General features: G+C 40.8%; 3 annotated features.

Moving 5' to 3' along the window:
• Window positions 2,339–2,597: a silencer, noted in NCBI's record as "fragment chr2:137240685-137240943 (GRCh37/hg19 assembly coordinates)". NCBI's record gives its function as "represses an EF-1alpha promoter that drives an FKBP-Casp9 reporter gene in an ReSE screen in phorbol 12-myristate 13-acetate-treated (for megakaryocytic differentiation) K562 erythroleukemia cells {active_cell/tissue: K562(+PMA)}" and the evidence as "EXISTENCE:reporter gene assay evidence [ECO:0000049][PMID:32094911]".
• Window positions 5,475–5,534: an enhancer, noted in NCBI's record as "active region_16590". NCBI's record gives its function as "activates an Ori minimal core promoter by ATAC-STARR-seq in GM12878 lymphoblastoid cells {active_cell/tissue: GM12878}" and the evidence as "EXISTENCE:reporter gene assay evidence [ECO:0000049][PMID:35858748]".
• Window positions 14,930–15,129: an enhancer, noted in NCBI's record as "active region_16591". NCBI's record gives its function as "activates an Ori minimal core promoter by ATAC-STARR-seq in GM12878 lymphoblastoid cells {active_cell/tissue: GM12878}" and the evidence as "EXISTENCE:reporter gene assay evidence [ECO:0000049][PMID:35858748]".

A 16,821-nucleotide genomic window follows, 5' to 3' on the forward strand; every position in this document is an offset into this window, starting at 1 on the left:
TGGCAGCAGCCATGTCTGTAGATCCCCAGTATCAAGGCTCTCAAAATGGCTGCCAGCTGAGCCTTCTCCAGGCTCAGATGCCTGTGGGATTTTGTCTGGGTTCCCATTCTGGAGCAACATCTCTGTGCAAACTTCAGGCAGCTCCGTATGTCAGGCCCAAAGCCTAATGGGTTGAAGGTTTCTTTGGTAGCCAAGATTGTAAAAGCCCATTTTGGAACCCTGGGGGTTTCTCTTTTACTGTTTTCCTGCATCCAGAAGCCTTCCTTGGTTTTCAGTTGGTTCCTGGCTGGGCGAGCTGCCTTGAACCCTCTTACTTACTTCTGTGCTTTCCATCTCTTCTCTGGTGAATCCCAACATTCTCTCCTACATGATCTGTTCAAAATCTGAGTTTCTGCTTACTATTCTAGCTCTTCTCTATGGAGAAGGCATACACTACCTTCATCTAGTCAGCCCTCTTGATCCGTCTCTCCTGTAATGATTAATTTTATGTGTCAGTTTGGGCTAAGGGTGCCCATGTAGCTGGTAATTATTTCTAGGTGTGTCTGAGAAGGTGTTTCTGGAATAGTCTATGATTTAAATGGATAGACAGAGTAAAGCAGATGGCTCTTACCAATGTGGATGGGCATCATCCAACTACTGAGCACCCTGATGGAACAAAAAGTGGAAGAAGAACAAGTTGTCTCCTTCTCTCCTTGTGCTGGGACACTTATCTTCTCCTGATCTCAGGCATCAGAGATCTTTATTCTTAGGCCTTTGGACTCTGGGGGCTTACACCAGTGGTGCCCCTGGTTCTCACGCTTTGGGCTTAGACTGAATGACACCACCAGCTTTCCTGGTTCTCCAACTTGCAGATGGCAGAGCGCGGGACATCTTGGCCTCCATAATAGTGTAAGCCAATTCCCATAACAAACCCTCAAATATATGTATCTCATATTTGTTCGGTTTCCCTGGAAAACCCCAATGAATACCAAGGTACTAGGAAGAAAATGAAATGTGATACAGGACAGAAAATGACTAGGAGAAGTGGCAGGGAGGGAGCTGGCACTTTAGCTAGAAAGGATGGGAAAAGTTCCTCGGAGATGACCAAAGGAAGTAAAGTAGGCTTGCAGGAGAAGTATTCTAGGCAAGTGAGCCAAAATTGCATGTTTGGAAGGGGCAGGGAGAAAGACAGTGGAGGGGACTGGGGATACAGGGGAGGGGAGACTAGTAGATGAGGTCAGAGAGGGAGCTCTGATACTGGCTGGCTTTGTGGGTCATGGTGAGAGCTAGGATTTTTACTCTAAAGTCAATGGGAAACTTTGGAAGTTTTAGTCAGAGGAGTGGTAAGATCAGATTCATCCTTTAAAAAGATCACTCTGGTTGGCACATGGAAAAAAAGGATGTTGGGAGTAAGAATGGAAGCAGAGTAAGTAAGTAAGTTGGCAGGCCATGCTGGGATCCAGGCCAGATATGATGATGGCTTGGACCAGAATTTGCGCACTGGAGGAGGAGAGACGTAGTCAAAATTCAGGATGTATGTTGGAGGCAGATTCATTTTGTATAGGGAGTAAATAAAGGCAGTGATCAAAGATGAACCCCCTGGGTGTTTGGCAAAAGTAAAAAGACAGGCAAAAGCAGAAAGTAATAGGGACCAGCAAAGAGTTGATTTAGGGTACTGAATACAACATTAACTTTGGAATCAGAAAACCTGTTTAATTCCTATGTCACTTCCCAGCTGTATGACCCTTGGACAAGGGACTTACCTTCTCTGGGTGCTGGTGTCTTCAGGGTGACAGTATTTATGTCTTCCCTAGATTGTTGTGAGGGTTCAATAAGCTAATATATGTCAACTATAATAGTATCTGACATGTAGTAAGTACCTAATAAAAGGTAGCTCTTATTACTACAGGTTCAAAACTATGCTGTGTTTTGTCCTCACAAAAGGCTTGTACATTAAAATATAAATATAAACGCATCCAGGTTCTTCTGTCTTCACATGTATAAGTGTTTTGGTTAGAGCTCAATGAAGGAGGAATCAGCTTTCTAGGACTGCTGATTATTTATTATAAACATTCTTTTTGTTTGTGCAGTTGAATATTTCCCCTTTCTGCTCTTCTTAATCTTGCCAACATTATTTCTTTGATTGATAATGATTGGTTTCATCAGGAATTAAAATACTTATTGTGCATTGAACACTCATAGGTGTATTCCTTTTATCAGCCGGGAATAGGAGACCCGTGCTGAGTACATCCTAGCACTCCTGATGTTAAGGCTAATTTACAAAGGAAAAATAGTCACCTTTTCTCTTTTCACTACTGGTTAAGAAGCAGCTTATGAAGGCAGTGCCATGAGGAAGGATGAGAGGATTAAGTGATTAATAACTGAATGGGAGGGGCCTGCTATTGGGCTGCTGGCAGGCTCTGAAAATGTTGCTCTCCAGATAGCAGAAGCCAAGCACTGAGTGCTTACTGTGCCTATGCAGCATGTAAAGGGATGGGCACGAGGTTGAAGAGATTGACTATAGACTTGAAGGAGTTTGGTAGAGCTGGAGTCAGGCAGGCATGGCATAGGGCAGAGACTGACATACAAAGGGCAGAACACAAGGGGGATTATAATGAGGGCTTACATATTGGGGCAACAAAAGCTACGGGGGCACAGAAGAGACAGCAATTCATTTCTACCTGTTCATCTTAGAAGCTTCTTGAAGGAGGTGGCATTTGAGCAAGACATACAGGCCAGTGGCACTTTGAGCTGTGGATCTGGTCTGAGCACGGACATGAAATGTTTTTTATTCTTCTTTCAGCCCTCAACATGGTACCTGACACACAGTGAGCTTTCAGAAAACACGAACTGACTAAATTACTCTGAAAGGTGTGTATATGGAACCATGGGTAGTCAGGCGGGTCTGGGATGTGGTGGGAAGGAATATTTTGCTGTCCTTAACTCTGTATTTTGATTTCACCTCCTTGTGTGTTTTTTTTTCATTGTTGTAAAATATATATAACATAAAATCTGTGCTTTTAGGCATTTTAAAGTGTACAATTCCATACCATTAATTAAATTCACAGTGTTGTGCAACCATCAGCACTGTTTCAGAAACTTTTTTTATTACCCTAAACCAAAACTCGATAACTGTGAAGCAATGACTCTGCATTCTCCCCTGCCTCTTAGCCTCTGGCGACCTCTAATCTACTTTCTGTGGCTCTGAATTTGGCTATTCTAGGTATTTCATATAAGTGAAGTCATACTATATTTTCTTCACCACCTCCTCTTTTTATTATTAACCTGGAAATATCAGATAGTTTTGAGGCATTTTCTGCTTTAGCATGGCTTCAGGCTTTATGCAGGTCATATTGAGTGTACTGTCTTGTGACTATTTGATCTCACAAAGTAAAAATCTCTTACAAAATGTTCAGCCTCACTTCTGGCATAGTCATGGGTGTGCTCATCTTTCTCTCTCTAGACTGCGAGCTCTGGGCAGCCAGGCAGGTGCTTCACTTTCCTTTTTTTTTTGGATGTTACATATCTCTCTTGATGATGACAGTGTAAATAAATATAAAATAATACAAATTAACTGAATTCGATACACAAGGTATGATCAAAGAGAAGATAAAAGTGATGGAGAGTCATGTGTGTTTATACTAGAATGATTTATAATCCTCTGGGTATATACCCAGTAATGGGATGGCTGGGCCAAATGGTATTTCTGGTTCTAGATCTTTGAGGAATCACCACACTGTCTTCCACAATGGTTGAACTAATTTATACTCCCACCAACAGTGTAAAAGGGTTCCCATTTCTCCACAGCCTCACCAGGATGTATTGTTTCCTGACTTTTTAATAATCATCATTCTGACTAGCGTGAGATGGTATCTCATTGTGGTTTTGTTTGCATTTCTCTGATGATCAGTGATGATGAGCTTTTTTTTTTAATATGTTTGTTGTCTGCATAAATATCTTTTTTTGAGAAGTGTCTGTTCACATCCCTCACCCACTTTTTGATGGGGTTGTTTGTTTTTTTCTTGTAAATTTGTTTAAGTTCCTTGTAGATTCTGGATATTAGAACTTTGTCAGATGAGTAGATTGCAAAAATTTTCTCCCATTCTGTAGGTTGCCTGTTTACTCTGATGCTAGTTTCTTTTGCTGAGCAGAAGCTCCTTTTTTTATTGCAGCACTAGTCACAACAGGAAAGACTGGGAATCAACCCAAATGCCCATCAACGATAGACTGGATTAAAAAAACGTAGCACGTATACACTATGGAATACTATGCAGCCATAAAAAGAATGAGATCATGTCCTTTGAAGGGACATAGATGAAGCTGAAAGCCATCATTCTCAGCAAACTAACACAGGAACAGAAAACCAAACACCACATGCTCTCACTCGTAAGTGGGAGCTGAACAACGGGAACACATGGACACAGGGAGGGGAACAACACACACCAGGGCCTGTTGAGGGGTGGGGGGCAAAGGGAGGGAAAGCACTAGGACAAACACCCAATGTATGCAGGGCCTAAAACCTAGATGACAGGTTGATAGGTACAGCAAACCACTATGGCACATGCACACCTATGCAACAAACCTGCACATTCTGCACATGTATCCCAGAATCAAAAGTAAAATTAAAAAAAAATTGAAAGGTTAGAGGTCAAAAAAAAAAAAATTCTTCCCTTTGGGAAGGATTTTTAGCTCCCAAATTACAAAATGAACTACCAAAGATTATGCATTTATTTTAGCATTATAAATATGTTACTAGTTTGACCTCCATTGCAGTTCTAAGGTAAGCTAACTGTTTTAATTACAATAGTGATTTTGTAGTACATTTTAATAAAACTGGAGTGTTTCATAAATTTCCCAATTATGACATCATTTTAAGGCACTATTTAATTGACACTTTATTAAATTGGAGGATTACACAATTAGAGCTCATTTTTTGTTGATTCTGAAAATTTATTTTTAAATAAATATTTTTATTTTTGAATCGGCATTCATTTTATTACAAAGACTAACATATTTTTGCATGTAAGATAAACTTTACTTTCTCTATTTCCCACTGAAATATCCTATTATTCCAATTTTATTTAATAAATGGTAATTTTTTCAGTACTATTATATACCAAGTTCTATATACCAGCGTATATATAATTTGTAGGCTCTTGATTCTTTTTTTTTTTTTTTTTTTTTTTTTTTTTTTTTTTTTTTTACTTTAAGTTCTAGGGTACATGTGCACAACGTGGAGGTTTGCCACACAGGTATACATGTGCCATGCTGGCCTGCTGCACCCAACAACTCTTCATTTACATTAGGTATTTCTCCCAATGCTATCACTCCCCCAGGCCCCCATCCCCCGACAGGCCCCCCTGCATGATGCTCCCCGCCCTGTGTCCATGTGCCCCCGCCGTTCAACTCCCACCCATGATTGAGAACATGTGGCGTTTGGTTCAGGGAACACACAGGTCTGGGAAGTCCCATGCACTCAGTCATGTTTGCTGAATAAAAGCATGAGTCAATGCAGGAAAAAAAAGAGGAAAAAACTTTTTGCAAGAGAATGTTTAACAGTGGGGAATGAGAAAGACTGGTATTGAGACCAAAGATATTTAAGAGTTTTAAGAAAAAAAGAGGAAGCACAAAAGAACATATCTAGAGCCCAGAACGACACAAAACTCATCCAAGCAGTGAGATAACAAGGCAGTAAGAAAAGCCCTTAGCAGGCCGGGTGCGGTGGCTCACGCCCGTAATCCCAGCACGCTGGGAGGCCAAGGCCGGCGGATCACGAGGTCAGGAGATCGAGACCATCCTGGCTAACACGGCGAAACCCCGTCTCTACTAAAAATACAAAAAAAAAAAAATTAGCCGGACGTGGTGGCGGGTGCCTGTAGTCCCAGCTACTCTGGAGGCTGAGGCAGGAGAATGGCTTGAACCCAGGAGGCGGAGCTTGCAGTGAGCCTAGATAGCGCCATTGCACTCCAGCCTGGGCGACAGAGCGAGACTCCATCTCAAAAAAAAAAAAAAACCTTTAGCAATATCTTACAAGGCAGGACATTGACAGGTGAGGTCAGTGAGGATAAACGTTAATGGTGTGATTGATTGGAGTAACAGCTACCTTTCAATAGGTCTGCTACTGAACCTTATATAGGGTATCCGTTTTCTTTGTGGCAGTCTTGTGATGTGCCATTAATCCACCTCTCAAGTGACGAAGTTGAATTTTAGAGATACTCAGTTACCCGCTCTAACTCATAAACTCTAGTAAGTAGCTGAGTTGGGATTAGAATCAAAGTCTGTCTGGCTCCAAGGCCCAGGTTTTTTTCCGCTATGAGAAAAGCTGTCTCTCACATTTGGAGTGTGGACTAGGGGAGAGACTGAGAAAATGACGATCCAAGAATGAGATTAGTAAAGCATCATAGATGAGTTTCTTGAAGACATTGGTCCAAAGTGCACCAAAGGGCCCCAAGAAATATTGGATACCACAGTGAAGGAGATTAGGGAAAATAAAACAACAAAAAGTCTTATTCTGCTCACAGCAAAGCCAGAAGAAAAATGATCACGAGTGCAATGCTAGTATAAACACTGGAAGGGTGAGGACTTGTAATAGCACCCACCCCTGCATGTTCCTTGTCATCATGTAGTGCAGAAGCAACACATATTATTAAAAATAGTTCTGAAGCCCATGGTAGAGCAGCCACTTCTCTTCCTTTTAGCTCACCCAGGCTAACACAATAGCAAAAGAAAACTCGTCAATTTTTTACAAAATGCACAGCAGGCATTTACCCTCAGATGCTTTAAAAAACAGAGATATTTGTACTTACAGGCTATTAGTTGCTACAGAGTAATGTCTGCTAGGGCTGTTTTTTCCATCAGGGGAATCAAATTTCTTGTTGTGCTATTAGCTTCCCACTATATCATTTTTAAAGGCGAGTCATAAAATGTTTTTTCTCTACTGTGGCAGCAAGGGGGAAACTTTATTAGGGAAAAAGTAATGCAGTTAGAAAGAGTCCTGTAAACTCAAAATCTGTTTAGGGCACTTAATTCTGGGCTTTACAGAGCAACTGCATCTTTATTTGCAAATAAACATGCAGCTCTTCAATGCACATGTCAGGCAGAAAGAATGTTCATGTGGGTGTTTGGGCTGTGCCGATTTCATGGCACGGTGGAAAATTTGGGGATGAGAAGGGTAGGTTGGTAGGATCAATCAAATAAGGACTTCTGTTTGTTGCTCATTTTGTGGCTGGAGTAGGTGTGGAAGGTCAGTGTGTCTGAGAATGAAAGTGGCTTGATGTTTCCTTCTTTCCTATCCCCTGACCTCATTTCCAAAGAGTAACAACTAGTCTGGTTGTTACTCATTGTTACTCAACTGATTAGTGACTGATTTTGACTTGTTATTTGCCCCACCATGAAAACAACCACAAAAATACCCTAAGCATTATAAAAATAATATACATTCATCACAGAAAACTTGGAAAATATAGAAAAGCAGAGAGAAAAAAGAGAACAAGTAATCATCATCTTTTTCTTACCACTCAGGAAAAAGTAACTGGATTAAGTTTATCTGTTGATTTTTTTTGCCGATTAAAAACATAGTTATGATCATATTCTATATACAAAATTACATATACTGAGTTAAACATCTATTTTTGTTCTTGTGATCCATGTGCTTTGCAGAAAACTTGAAAAATGTAAAAGTATAAAGAAAAAATAATTACATAGAATGTCACCATCCGGAGATAAATGCTGTTGTTCTATTTTAATGTATCATCATATAGTTTTTTCTATGCATTTAAAAATGTATTTGTTTCAAAGTTTAAAATATAGTAAATGCAGGGACATTTGTAACTGTGAGGTGGAGGATGGGATAGGGTTTGGAGGAGATGATATTTTCCATAGACTAGTTTTTATTTGGTTTTCACCAATTAAAAAAAGACAACTCTGAGACTTAGGCCATTCAATATGAATTTTAAAGTTGCAGAAAATCATTACTTGAGCTCTTTGGCAATGAAAATGCTTATTATATTGCTCTATGTAGCTCTACTTTTATGGAAGAAAAAAGAAAAATATTTTAGTGATTCTCCCAGCACAGCATCTTAACCATGTAAAGAGTTTAGCTATTATTAGAGCAAGTGCCGGAATAGAGTAATATAGGTCATTTTAAGTGGCACTCAAACATGGCAAAAGCTTTTATTTGAACTCTGGGATAGAGAACAGAATTCAAGAATGGATGTTTTCTGGAATTGATAAGGGAGAAAAAGCAGCCAAGAGTAGCACTGTTGGGCCAAGCTTCCCCTGGGATGTGAAATCCATCTGAGGACATGGAATCCAACAGACATTAAGTTTGTGGCCCAAACAGAGTAAGGGAAGTGATTTTATCCCATAACTGACACATTTTTGAGCTCTTAAATGTGATTCTTCTTTTGGTTCCTAGAGTACATTGTTAGTGACTTCTTTTTCCACAATGGAATGTTTGGTAGCCTGTTGCAACTTTGCCTTGGGAAACAAGTTTGCTGGGTATACAATTCTTGGCCTAAAACCTCCTCCTTTGAAATAGTAATTGTAAAATAGTTTTAAAAACTAAAATTCTAATATTAATGTTAATAGTAAAACAACTAAGTTTAAGGTTTATTTGCTATTTTTTACTTTTAGAATATATACCCCTAAGAAGGTACAGTCATAGTTTTGTATTCAAAGAAATTTTAAATACTGATTTTCTCTGTGTGATTACCAATTTTATATGCAATTAGACTCATTTGTTTCCAATTGTGTGTGATTTTAAGGCCTATTTTTACATAAAATCTTTTAAATTATTTACTCCTTTTTCATATAAGGTAAACATTACCTCTATTTGACAGATGAGAAGAAAGAGAGGTTGAGTGATTTTACATAGGCTTGTGAGCACTAGCATCAGGACCAGTGCTCATGGCATCTACTGCTGAGAAGGTGAGTATTCCATTCCATTATCTCTCTCTGAAATCCACCTAGGGGATGGTAGATGGTTTTTATCTGCTGGCATCCAGTGCTGTTTCTTTGGCAAGGAAACAAGACCTCATATTTTCTATGGAAAATTTATGCTTATTTTTAATTTAATTTTTAAATATGTAAAATATATATATTATACATGGTTCAAAAATCAAAATTATATACAAAAATATATTTTAGAGAAGTTTCTATTCCTTTCTTTTCCACCTTATAATCCTTATAATCACCACTCTCTGTAGACAACCATTAGTCAATATTTATGTTTCTTTAAAAAATAAGCAAAATTGTGTGTGTGTCTTTGTATACTCATTCCCCCATTTTTCTTACAAAAACATGCTGAGCTCTAATAACATTTTATACTTTGATTTTTTTTTGCTTAACAATGCATTATAGAATATATATTACTCCATATTTATTCATAGAGATCTTGATTCTGCTATATGGTTACATGGTTCCCTATGGTGTATCATAGGCTACTTAACAGCCCTCTATGGAGAGACATTTGGGTTTCCAGACTTTTGCTTTGACAAATGCCACAGCCTTAAGTAACCTTTTACGTAGGTAGTTATTTTTAGGCTCTTTGTCATTGTATTTTTGTTCATGTGGTCTCTGTCCTGTGGAGAAGCCCATGGTCAGATGTTCTCATTCAAGTTCTACTTGCTTTATAGTATAAGTAAATTCATTTTGGATACATGGTGTTAGGTTGATGCAAGTTTAGACGTCAGTTGTCATAAGTACAAGCTGTTCTTTCCTTTCGTATATTCTTGAAAGTTTGTACAAGGGTTGAATGTGGAAAGCCAGACAATAGACTTATTTGATATAAAAGAGGTAGGAGTTCCATTCCTAGAAAGCTAAAAAGGTGATGAAACCACTAATTACACCTCCGTTTTTTAAACACAATCATTTATGATTTATTGCCAACATTTGGTACATGTTCTTTAATTGTGTTCTGTTCCTTCACAATTAATTGAACATGCAATTGACCTGTCTGAGTCCAGTGAGAATCTGATTAAGGTGAAAGATTCTCTGTCTTCAGGCTGCTTAAGTGATTTTCATCTTTGTCTCAATTGTTAAGTTTATATGACCTATACTTCTTATCCCTGGTATCAGCACTTTCATTTTTCTGTTTTTGACTCATTTTTATAAAACAATTTGACAATACAATAAACATAAAAACAATTGCATAAACATTTCTAGACTGAAGTAAACAATGGAACCGCAGGTAACACCACTATGTGATAGCTTGAATTGATTATTTCTAGGCAGTTGCATGACAATCAGAATTTAGCATACACAGAGAGGTTTGGAGTGATAATATGTAGTGTTTGGAATGTACAGACTGTTTGGAAGGCAAATTAATGAAAGCTGAGCAGCCTCTGTATTTTGTGAGAAGTTGGGAGAGTTTGCATGGGCAGCTGCTATGTCAATGCCATTTAAAATTGAACAATAAAAATGCTGAGAAAAATGTGTAGGCAGCCTTCAAATTATGACCTAACAGGAACACAAATTGCATGACAAAGTTGGTTATTTGATAGACAGTTCTAATTCTTGCCCTCACTTCTATTTTACCCTTTCCGTCCATCCCCACCTACCCCCAAGTTTTACTTGAATCCTGGGAGGTCTCTGAAAAGAGGAATACTGAGGGCAGGAGCCAACTAAAAAAATGCATGAATGAGAGGTGCTTTGGTTCTTGTATTTGTCCAGGTCCTACTCACTAAGTTTTAATAAGGCAAGTGATTTTACCTTTCCGTCTTGGGTGTGAATCATGGCTTATCAATGACATTGAAATATGCACACCAACTCTGGACAGTGCTTGAAGAAATAATTCTACTGGCTTTAGAAAGCCTGCAAGGGATGGCAGGATACCCCTGCTGACTTCATGGGGAAGAAATGTGTGGCCTGGAGCAGGGTGCCAGGAAACGCAGGATGGATCAGAGAGCTTCAGGGTGTGCACAAGATGAAACTACAAGCCAGGGTCAAGTCATGAGTCTGAGACTGAAAAACATCAAAAGAAGTCAAAAGAAAGGTTTTGGAGGAGGCCAAGAACAAACCCTGAGGGGTGGAGTTGGGATCAAAATGGGATGCTGAAGAAGAGAGGGTGACACCAAACTACAAGTTTTAAACAGGAGAGAAACCAGAATGAACTGTCGTTAACAGCAGAGAGTTCCTGGGGGGTGTGGCTTAGAGACTGAGAGCCAGCTGTGCAACCTGCATGCCCCTTTTACAAAAGGCACACACACAAGGCAAGGGTTAGTTAAATAGAAAAGCAAGGAGAGAAAAACTGGATGCATGGGATGAATGTCCAGGGAATTAAAGCATTGGAATAATGACTATGATGAGGATTTTTGGAAGACTGGTTTTCAGACTGTTTCATGGAGCAGCTTTGGTGCTCCCACATGGATGGGGAGTTTGCCTTCAGTGTTCCCCATCAATGGGAAGGGAGAGGGTGGGAGAGGAGAGATGACTTGCAAGGGAAGGGATGGGAGGCTGCTGCTTCACACTCCCACTTGACCACAATAGTTCTCCTTTTACATATTGGTGGGGGGATCTGTGTAAGATTTCATTTGAAAGACAGGTTCTGCTGTGTATTAGTTTCCTGTGGCTGCTATAACAAATTGCCATAAGGTTGGTGGCAATGTCAGAAATGACAGAAACTTATTCTTTTATGGTCCTGGAGATAGGAAGTCTGCAATCACAGGGTGCCCAGCATCACACTCCTGTGGGAGGCTTTAGGGGAGAACCCGTTCCTGGCCTCTTCCAGCTCCTGGTGGCTGTCCACGTTCCTTGGCTTGTGTCTGCTTCTCTCTGCTCCATCTTCATGTCATCTTTTTCTCTGTAGAGGTGTCTAATACCCCCTGCCTGTCTTTTATAAGGATACTTGTGATGTTGTTTAGGGTTTACAGGGATAATCCAGGATAATCTTTTTATCTCTAAATCCTCAGCTGAGATACATCTACAAAAGACTTCCAAGTAAGGTGACATTCACACATTGCAGGGATTAGGATGTGGACATATCTTTTTTGGGCTCATCATTCAGCCCATTACATGCTGTTAAAAAAGGTATGAAACTTTTTAAATCTTAAATGATGAACCTGAAAGAATTGGTTAAAAAAAAAAACGAAAAAGCCTCAACCTTTTGGAGGGGAAGGAAGAGAAATACAATTATGCTGCCATGTGATGTTTGAATATGTAGATAAAACAGGAAGGGAAGGTGGTGTAAGCTGCACAAAAGGAGTAGAATGCATATTTATCCAGGACTGAACGTGATGGTAGCTCCCTTGAGGACCATTGGCCTCATTACAACTCATCAGTAAAGGGTTAGCTCGCTCAATTTCAACCACTCAGTCTTTTTGTATCTTGACACTGAACACTGATGGTTTTGAAGAATGATTGCGTAAGGGCTCACCAGATGTGGTGTGGTTCTCTAACAAAACCTAAGTGTATGAAAACTGTCAAAGGAGTATTAGAAATGTGCTACCCCCGTGTCTATGTAACTAGTGCATAACGTAAGCACAGCATATATAACGAAGGTATACGTGAGATAGTCAGTGAGGTTCTGATTTTATTTTCCGTTTCCTCCTCAGGAAGGAAGAAGTGGGAATCATTAGGCATGTCTAAGGAAATGGTCTTTGTTTTGTCCATTTTTTCTACTGTATAGTTACCATTTTTTTCTTTTATAAATTAGTAATTTGTGGGGAGAGATTTTGAGACCAAATAAATATCCTATTCCTTATTAAATTTTCCTTCCTAGATTTAGCATTCATTAATGACTTTTTTGCCTCAATTTGTGCTTTGATGGTTGTAAAATAGAGTTTTACTAATCTATCATTCCCTCTATATTTATTAGTCAGCATTCTATTAAAAGGAAACATTTTTCCTTCTTTTGTGTTTACTTATTTAATATCTTTAGTATCTGTATAGACTCCTAGATTCTTTTTTTATTTGATAAGTTATGGCCCATTACTGTTACTTCTTTTTGTTGTTTGAATCGTCCCAAATTTAGCCAGTAAGAATTCCTTAAAGCTGGCTGTCATGTCCCTTTAATATGTCCCTATTGTTCTTGAGCAGATCCTTACTTTTTGGTACAGTAAGATGTTCCATGATTGTCTCATACCTTCCCTGCCACACCCTGGAGTCAGCCTTTCCTCCAAGAAGCCTGATCCCTTTAGGGGACAATGGTATTGTCTAGTAACCAAGGTCTGGACAAGATCTTTTTTTAAAATTTTGCATCACATGGACACTGTCTAAAAAACAATTAAGAAAATTTTTTTTGAGATGGAGTCTCACTCTGTCTCCCAGGCTGGAGTGCAGTGGTGTGATCTCGGCTCACTGAAACCTTCACCTCCTAGGTTCAAGCGATTCTCCTACGTCAGCTGCCCGAGTAGCTGGGATTACAGGCGTGCACCACCTCACCTGGCTAATTTTTGTATTTTTAGTAGAGACATGGTTTTGCCATGTTGGTCAGGCTGGTCTCGAACTCCTGGACCTCAGGTGTTCTGCTCGCCTCGGCCTCCCAAAGTGCTGGGATTATAGGCGTGAAATTTTAAAAAATATATCATAGGTGATCTGAGTTTAGGATCGGACCCTGAGCCAAGAATTAAAGGGGAAGCTTTTGATGGGAGGATCATGGGTGCTGCTAGGTGAGGAGAGAGTGAGATAGGAAGGGTACTGACAGGCTGGTTCCACAGGAGACACTTTGGAAAATGGTGCAAAACACACACCTCAAAACCATCCTAGTCAGGAATGAGAAAGCTGGGGTATTTATACCCCACACCTGTCAGCTGTAGGTCCAGGGCTGCTGTTTGTGGGTAGGGGAGTGCAGAGAAGAGGGATGGATGGGGGTGGGAAGGTGCAGTCACTCCCAGGCCCCTCTAGTCTGGATCAAGCAGGCTTGCACAGACATGGTAAGGGGGTTGGAGGGTGTGAGCACTGACAATATTGGCTACAAGTGATGGCACCACCAGAAAAGGGTGGTGAAGCTGACTGAGAAAACAAAAGAAGCTTGGGCCCTCTGAAGGAAGGTGCACCGAGGGGCCTGGGGTTTCCTGACTGGGGTGGTGCATTTTAGACCTTTAGGTCTTTCTGTGCAAAAGCCACTCTGGCTTGGTTGTTACTACTCTGTCCTTTCTTCCACAGAAACTTGCCACATGCTTGGCTTCCTTCACTATTGGCTGCTTTCTTTGATCTCTGTTTGTACTGCTGGGCAAGGAACTTTAAAGAGGAATGGTAGTGAGAGTGTGGGGGTGTGGAGGGGTCACTCATATTGGCTGGAGAACAGGAGAGGAGGAGAGTAGGAGCCATCCTTGGTTTCTCACCTTCTTTCTCACCTCACATTCAACACTTTAGCAAGTCCAATATCTACATCCCAAGTCTGGCCACCTCTTACCACCCTCATTATTCCACACTAGTCGGGGTTGCCAGGATCTTCCATGTGGATCATTGCCGTGGCCTCCCACCTAGTCTCAGTCTCCCCCCATGACCCCTGTTCTTCACACAGCAGGTGGAGTGTGGATATGCCCTGCTCACAACTAACAGCGTCTGAGGAGGTTCCGAGTCCTTCCTGTGGCTGACAAGCCCCATGCCACCTGCCATCTGGCTGGTGGCTGCCTCTCCGATCCCCTCCCCCAGAACTCTTTCCCTCCTTTCTTCTCCTTGTTAATTCTGGAAGATGCCAGCTTATTGCCCATTCCAGGCTTTGTGTTGCTATTCCCTCTGCTTGGAATGCTTTTCCACCAGAGTCACATGGTTCCCTCCTGCCCTGCTTCTTTCCCTCCCTCCCTCCCTCCTTCTCTCCTTCCCTCTCTAATTCCCTCCTCCCTCTCTAATTCCCTCCCTCCCTCCCTCCTACTCTATCCTCCACTCCCTCCTTCTCCCTTTTCAGGACTTGACTCCAACACCACCACCTTCCCAAACTTCCCATCCATTTACCATTCTGTTCCTCTAATCTGCTTTATTTACTTTCAAAACCCCACAGAAATCAACAAAGACCACCCAAATGAGAATAAGCAAAGGCTGCTTACTCAGAGCTTGCTATAGCAAGGCAGCAGCCACCATCACTTCTGTTGGGCCGAGACTCGCGGGCAGGCAGAGGGGTGAGAAAGCTTGAAAGTGGAGAAAAGGGAAGTTCTCAGGGGCACCCTGACTGGAGGCTGTTGGTGTGGAAAAGCCATAGGCAGCTCACTAGAAGCACAGCATCCTATGTGATTGGTGAGGGACGCATATTTGACTTCCTCTGGTTTGTCCTGAGTTGGGAGCAGGAACAAAAATTAAGGACAGTCAGTGATTAATCCCGGCCTTGCCATTTGGGGCTGATCATTACCTGGGCTGTTGTTTGGCTTCCGGGACTGGTTGCTACAGATAGTAGTCTGACTTCCTGAATTGATAACTTTAGATATATAGTAGATTGTCTTCCTGGACTGGTTCTATTTTTATACACAGTCTGGCCACTGTCCATTTGTATATTCAGTCTCTCAGCACTTATTGTTTACCAGATGTAATATATATTTAGTTTTTAGTTGATGATTGCCTGTGTCACAGAGGAAGAAAGTTTGGTGAGGAAAGGGGGTCTGGTCTTGTCACTGCTGTCTCTTCTGCTCTGCAAACCATGCCAGGCACATGGTGGGTGCCCAGAAAATGCAGGTTACATGAGGAGACGATGATGTCTCATCCTTTAGTTAGGTTTCTAAGTGTAAATTGTTTTCAGAAAAGCTTCTGTTTTACTCCTTTTCCTCTTTTTTTTTTTGGACTGCTTACCCCTCTGGTATTTTGGACTAGCCTAACCACCATCTGAAGAAACTTGGAGAAGGGGCTTACTTAGAGAATACTGGGTATAGGCTTCAGAGGAAAGACGCCAATGTCTACAGGAGGTAGGCAGGTAAAAGGGTGAGCAAGCCTGGTGGGGTGGGACCATAGTGATGAAGATTCTTTGTTTTGTTGAAATACGGTCACCTCCATTCAGAATTGACCAATTTTTAACATGCCAGAATACAGGCCTCCTTTACTTCACTTTCAGAAGAAGCTGGCACCCTGGAGTTTTACGTAAATGCTTCTAATATTTAAATGTTAGCCACTCATAAAACACTATGCTATGTACCAGTAAGAGGAAGGGAGAGGGAAAGTAACGTGTCTGTGGATTGCATTCAGTCCTTGGGTGGCCAGGCTTGGCCTTTGGTCTAGGCTGTTGCCTCAGATACTCTCTGGAAGTCTCTTTGAGTTTCCCTTCTTTCTACTTTCCTTGACCTTCCCCTGGATCAAGGCTGGACATCTGAGAAGAGGAAAGCTGGTGTGAGCCTCCAAACTCCAGCCACTAGAGATTGCACACTGGGTCTTAGCATACCCGTTTCCTTTCAAATAATTTTCTTCACTAGGAGTCATCTGTAGATTTGAGAAGGGTGATTGCATGAGGCCGTTTTGGCATTGAGCTGATTGTAAGTGAAGCTGCAGGAGCCAACTCCCTGATTAGAACTGAGATCCTGAAGCCAGATGAATTAATAATGAGGTGATGGGGAGAAAGAGAGACTCCGTGACAGCTCTCTTGTTTATGTTAAGAGAAATGTTAGTTGCTTTCACTTGAAAAAAAAGATTATTTCTCTAAATTTTAAACCACCGATGATGACTAGAGCAATTAAGCTCATCTTCCCGGAGTATGGCCCTTCAGGAAAATCATTTTCCTAAGCACTGTTCATTATAGGTTGCATAGGATTGAAAGGTAAGACTTCTGGTTAATGCAGATTATAAAATGAGGGAGGAAAGAGCAGAGAAGTTATCGCATGTCATCAGAGGTATCGCTTAAGAGCCCAACAAAAATGATATTCAAAATGGATTTTTCCCCTCTAATTACAGAAAAACACCAAAATGCAAACCATATAGTTTTGT

Source organism: Homo sapiens, chromosome 2 (assembly GCF_000001405.40).
Source record: "Homo sapiens chromosome 2, GRCh38.p14 Primary Assembly".
Classification (NCBI taxonomy): domain Eukaryota; kingdom Metazoa; phylum Chordata; class Mammalia; order Primates; family Hominidae; genus Homo; species Homo sapiens.